At 43.4% G+C, this 6,316-nt stretch overlaps 1 annotated feature.

Annotated features, from left to right (window-relative positions):
- Positions 208-779: an enhancer, noted in NCBI's record as "OCT4-NANOG hESC enhancer chr3:21018406-21018977 (GRCh37/hg19 assembly coordinates)". NCBI's record gives its function as "activates a minimal SCP1, AML or CMV promoter by ChIP-STARR-seq in primed H9 embryonic stem cells {active_cell/tissue: H9 hESC(primed)}" and the evidence as "EXISTENCE:reporter gene assay evidence [ECO:0000049][PMID:30033119]".

The following is a 6,316-nucleotide window of genomic DNA, read 5'->3' as shown; positions in this document are numbered from 1 at the left end:
AAACTTACATCAAGAAACTAGTACTTAGTTGTAAATGGAACACTAGAGCTCTTCCACAACATGTGAGTTCCTGGAAGTCAGGCAAAGTGGATGATGCGCAGTCATTTTCCACTTCATGTATGACCTGAACAATTCTCATTCTCACTTCTGCTCCACCTTTATATAGGAAATCCTAAAATGTGGTTCCACATTATTCTCATTTTCTTTTCCAGTGATCTAGGACTGCATTGCTATCTATTTTCCCTCGAGCCCTATGATTTTTCTGTCTATCTCTCTCAGGAAAAAAATACAAAAAGTAAAATAAATTTATATTAATCAGTTGTTACTATGAGCCAAACTTTTATTTATGTTATACCCAAGTAATATTTCAAAATTCCAACACATAAATGTCAGGCCTCTGGGCCCAAGCTAAGCCATCATATCCCCTGTGACCTGCACGTACACATCCAGATGGCCGGTTCCTGCCTTAACTGATGACATTCCACCACAAAAGAAGTGAAAATGGCCTGTTCCTGCCTTAACTGAGACATTATCTTTTGAAATTCCTTCTCCTGGCTCATCCTGGCTCAAAAGCTCCCCTACTGAGCACTTTGTGACCCCCCATTCCTGCCCACCAGAGAACAACCCCCCTTTTTCCTTTACCTACCCAAATCCTATAAAACGGCCCCACCCCATCTCCCTTGGCTGACTCTCTTTTCAGACTCAGCCCGCCTGCACCCAGGTGATCAAAAAGCTTTATTGCTCACACAAAGCCTGTTTGGTGGTCTCTTCACATGCTCGCGCATGAAAATAAACATTTTTAAAATTCTCACTTTGTGGCAAAACTGAGAGCTGGTGAAGTAAAGTAACATACTCAAAGTCATGCAGCTAGTTAAGCCTAGATTTGAAGTCATGTTTGTTCTGATTAAAAGTTGGTGTTCTTTCCATTCATTGATTTAATTTACCAGGGATGCATTTTTCTTGCTACCAAGAAAGAGAGTAAAATAACTCTTGCTTATCAGGAGTGCTTTGCAAACATATGACAGTGATTTACACAAACCCAATGAATTACTTAGAACAAAAGTAGGGCTAAAATACAATTTTTAGTTTCAAATTTGAAATAAAATTAGAGCTTCTTGTCTGAACACTGTTTCCCTCAAATTCTTGGAAAAACTATTTAAAGACTGTTTTAGGATGATTTTGGAGGAGCTAAGTAAAAAGTTGGTTGTCCCATCCGATTAGTTAGCTATCCTAATGGAAGTATTGCTCATGTTTTTTAGTGGAACAGAAAAGCTAGTTCAAGTTGGGATTCTGCTTTTGAACGTAGAGCTCATATAAATATTATTTAAGAAGTGGATCTCACACTCTTTTCTTAACATGATTCTTAACCCCCATACGAAGAAGTATTTCTATTGATTTGCTCAGTCCAATGCCTGACTCTCCAACTTACCAGATCCTAGTCTCAATGACCCCAAATTATACAGAGAGAAATCAATACAACCCTCTTACGAAGTATGTGAATTATATAAAACAAAATTCCATAAAATATTTCACTACGTCATTACTCATCATCTCTTACAAAGCAGTGCCCAGGATAAGGTTACAGCCTATAGTCATTGATGTTTGATCAGCTAGAGCTCAATACCAATGTCAGGGGAACTGCTCATTCCAGCAATAAATCTCTCTGTGCACTCTGACTGTCAAACCAGGGATATCTGGGTGTCTACTGCTGTGCATGGATCATAGTAATCACAGCACTGGAATTTTTCCTGATGTGACTAACAGTTCATCTTTCTTTCAAATTCTTCTTTAAAAAAATCTCTGCTCTCAAACTCAGTTGCCAAACTAGAGCTGCTTCTTTTCTGAAGAAAAGAAAAAAAAGATTCATTATGGTAATGAGAAAGACTGCTGACTAGAGATATCAGATGCCAGTTGTTCTCACAAAGAAGAACAAACAGCATCAATAGATAATTTTAACTCCAAAAGGATATCAAGAACAGAATACTAGAGCCCAGTGGAGAATTCACAGGAAAAATCCTGCGCAGGAAAAGAAGGAAATGAGAGGCCAACTCAGCTGGCAAAGATTGACGTAAGCCCCAGAGGACTTAGCGCTAAGTGGAAAAAGTAAATGAGACTATTTTGGCTCCTGTCATCCTAGCTGTGGTCTGCCAGTATCCAAACTGTGAGAGAGCTCCTCTACCTTTGCACACCCAAACACTAGTGTTGGCAGTGATTTAGGGATGTCTGGAGGGTATTACACCAGACCATAAACGCACATTGCATTACTCACTCTGCCCCAAGACTTGAGTGGCTGGGCCAGGATGCCATTGTAAGAGCACAGCCATAAGGAGACTGTATCTTGCTCAGAGAACGTCAACCTTTGTTGCCTATCCCAGGAGGTTCTGCTGACATTACCCAGTACCCACTCAGATGGCTGCAGCCGCACAGTGCTGGCAGGAATCAAATGAGCTGCAGGGTTTCCAGTAATCTAGCCCTCAGGGACTGCCACTCCTATGGGAAGAGAAAGTGCAATGCACCAAGAAGAAAACTCCTGGGCCAAAAGAAACCAAAACATACACTTTCCAGTGCCTGAGAGCTCCCTGCTTGGGGCTGTGAGGGGTGGCCCCAGTTCCAACAGGGATACAACTCTATGCCTGGCTTGGCAAGTGAGAAGGAAATCCCATCCCACCAGCCAAATGGACTCTGTGCTCAAAACCAGGCTTAGAGAGGGGAACTTCTCTTTCCACTTGCCACACTGCTAGAGACATAGCAGCTACTGCTCCCATATGAAGTTTGATATAGGCAAATTGGAAGGAAGCCTATCTGGGGCTGTGAGGGGAGACTGCAACCCCACTGTCAGAGTCACCTTCACTTCTGGATTTGAGAGAAGAGAATGGTCCCTCCCCTCCTCTGCACAGAGCTGCAGTGTTGCTGCAATGAAAAGCAGGAGTACCAGATAGCTGTGTGTTTGGGGGTGTGGTGGAAGACTCTGCACCGCAGCCACTACCAGATGGCACAGATGTTCATTGTTGAGCCAGGGAGCTGGCATCTCCTATAGCTCTCTTAGCTACATTGCAGCCTATAAACAAACAGCAGTGTCTGATTAAACTGATATCCCATGTGCTGGGATGGGGTGTGACAGGAAGACTGATAACACTCCCTCCTGCCTAGGCTATGGTGCTAGAGCAGTCCCTCTCTTCACTATGCAGAGACCTCTGGTCATTTCACCAGGGACGTGATGACTTCCCTGCCATTCCTGTGAGGGTGCTTGCACCCGACACTGGGGAGCCTGAGTGTGAGTTTGCCTGGTCCAGCTCTGCCCAGCTACACCCTCATTCTCTGAGGCTAAACATGGGACAGAGACCACTGCGTATTCTACAGATCAGCTTATTGCCTGTGGCACCAGAGAACTTCTTCTAGTAAACAATTAAGCATAAATCCTACAGGTACCACAGCAGCCAGCTCTTACCTGTGAGTGCCACCTACTATCCTGGAAGTCAACCTAACAACCCACTACAAATTCTGGACATAAATGCACAGTGCTTAGGAATGAGATAAGCTTCTCATGACCTCCACCAGCATGGAGTCTCAGGAGGCTATGAGTCTTCTCACCCATTCAGTACACCAATAATACAGCTAACATTTGAGAAAGCCACCACATGAAGGCTATCTATAAGTAAAACAATTTTTACACACTTTTTTCAACTGAGTACGCACATCAGCAAAGCAAACTGTACTACTTAAAATATATTATAGTTGCATTCTTAAGAAGAGAAGAAGAAAACAAATCCTGTCCAAATGAAAGTAAATTCAAAAATAAGAAGTGTTTCTTTCTCCATATGCAAAAATAAAAGAACAAATGTAACAATACTTGAAGTATGCAAAAGCAGAGTGAATCTCAAAAGATCAACACTAACTCTAGCTGTGGATCCTAACCAAAATGAAGTTTGTGAAATTCCAGATAAAAATTAAAAATATTTATTTTAAAGAAGCTCAACGAGATCCAAGAGAAATCTAAAAACCATTACATAGAAATCAGAAAATCAATTCAGGATATAAAGAGAAATTTACCAAAGACATAGATAGTCTTAAAAAAGAAAGAAAGAAAGAAAAGAAACAACAAAAAAGGACTTTCGGAAATGAAAAAGTCATTGAAGAAATTACAGACTAAAAGTAAAAGTTTCAACAATAGGCTAAACCAAGCAGAATCTCAGAACTTGAAGACAGGTCTTTTGAATTAACCCAGCCAGATAAAAATAAATAAAAATGAGCAAACAAAGCTATCAGGAAGCACAGAACTGCCTAATGACTAAACTTACAAATTATTGGTATTACTGAGTCAAAAGCAAAACATTTGAAAACATATCTAAGGAAATAACTGATAAAAACTTTCTTGCCTTGAAAGATATATATGGACACATAGATACAAGAGGCTCAGCAAACACCAGAAAAATACATTGCAGAAGACTTCACCATAGGATATGTCAGGCCTCTGAGCCCAAGCTAAGCCATCATATCCCCTGTGACCTGCACGTACACATCCAGATGGCCAGTTCCTGCCCTAACTGATGACATTCCACCACAAAAGAAGTGAAAATGGCCTGTTCCTGCCTTAACTGATGACATCGTCTTGTGAAATTCCTTCTCCTGGCTCATCCTGGCTCAAAAGCTCCCCCACTGAGTACCTTGTGACCCCCCACTCCTGCCCACCAGAGAACAACCCCCTGTGACTATAATTTTCCTTTATCTACCCAAATCCTATAAAACGACCCCACCCCTATCTCCCTCTGCTGACTCTCTTTTCGGACTCAGCCTGCCTGCACCCAGGTGAAATAAACAGCCATGTTGCTCACACAAAGCCTGTTTGGTGGTCTCTTCACACAGATGTGCATGAAATTTGGTGCCATGACTCAGATCAGGGGACTTCCCTTGGGAGATCAATCCCCTGTCCTCCTGTTCTTTGCTCCATGAAAAAGATCCACCAACGACCTCAGGTCCTCAGACCCACCAGCCCAAGGAACATCTCACCAATTTTAAATCGGGTAAGCGGCCTCTTTTTACTCTTTTCTCCAACCTCCCTCACTATCCCTCAACCTCTTTCTCCTTTCAATCTTAGCGCCACACTTCAATCTCTCCCTTCTCTTAATTTCAATTCCTTTCATTTTCTGGTAGAGACAAAGGAGACACGTTTTATCTGTGTACCGAAAACTCTGGCACCGGTCACGGACTAGGGAAGGCAGCCTTTCCTTGGTGTTTAATCATTGCAGGGAGGCCTCTCTGATTATTCAGGTTTCAGAGGTGTCAGACCATGCAGCGATGCCTGCCTTGGTCCTTCACCCTTAGTGGCAAGTCCCACTTTTTGAGGGAAGGGGCAAGTACCCCAACCCCTTCTCTCCATGTCTCTACCCCTTCTTCGCCTTACTGGGGGGCAAGAAACCCCCAACCCCTTCTCCTTCACCCTTAGTGGCAAGTCCCACTTTTTTCTATGGGAGGGGCAAGTACCCCAACCCTTTATATCTCTGTGCCCCGATCCCTTATTTCCGCACCCCACCCTCTTATATCTCTGTGCCCCAATCCCTTATTTCCGTGCCCTGACCTTGTATCTCTGTGCCTTGACCCCTTTCCCACTTTTCTGGAGGGTAAGAACCCCCGAACCCCTTCCTTCCGTGTCCCTACTCTCTCTTTTCTCTGGGCTTGCCTCCTTCACTATGGGCAACCTTCCACCCTCCATTCCTCCTTCTTCTCCCTTAGCCTGTGTTCTTAAGAACTTAAAACCTCTTCAACTCTCACCTGACCTAAAATCTAAGCATCTTATTTTCTTCTGCAATGCCGCTTGACCCCAATACAAACTCAACAGTAGTTCCAAATAGCCAGAAAATGGCACTTTCAATTTTTCCATCCTACAAGATCTAAATAATTCTTGTCATAAAACGGGCAAATGGTCTGAGGTGCCTGACATCCAGGCATTCTTTTACACATCTGTCCCTCTCTAGTCTCTGTTCCCAATGCAATTCCTCCCAAATCCTCCTTCTTTCTCTCCTGACTGAGGTTGTCCCCTCAGTCCCAACCCCAAGCGTTGCTGAGTCTTTCCAGTCTTCCTTTTCTACAGACCCATCTGATATTTCCCCTCCTCCTCAGGCTGCTCATCACCAGGCCGAGCTAAGTCCCAATTCTTCCTCAGCCTCTGCTCCTCCACCCTATAATCTTTTTATCACCTCCCCTCCTCACACCCAGTCCGGTTTACAGTTTCAGTCCGTGAGTAGCCCTCCCCAACCTGCCCAGCAATTTACTCTTAAAAAGGTGGCTGAAGCTAAAGGCATAGTCAAGGTTAATGCTC

The sequence above is a fragment of the Homo sapiens genome, chromosome 3 (assembly GCF_000001405.40).
Source record: "Homo sapiens chromosome 3, GRCh38.p14 Primary Assembly".
NCBI lineage: Eukaryota > Metazoa > Chordata > Mammalia > Primates > Hominidae > Homo > Homo sapiens.
The sequence above is the reverse complement of the archived record's forward strand: the minus strand, read 5'-3'. Positions and strand labels throughout refer to the sequence as shown.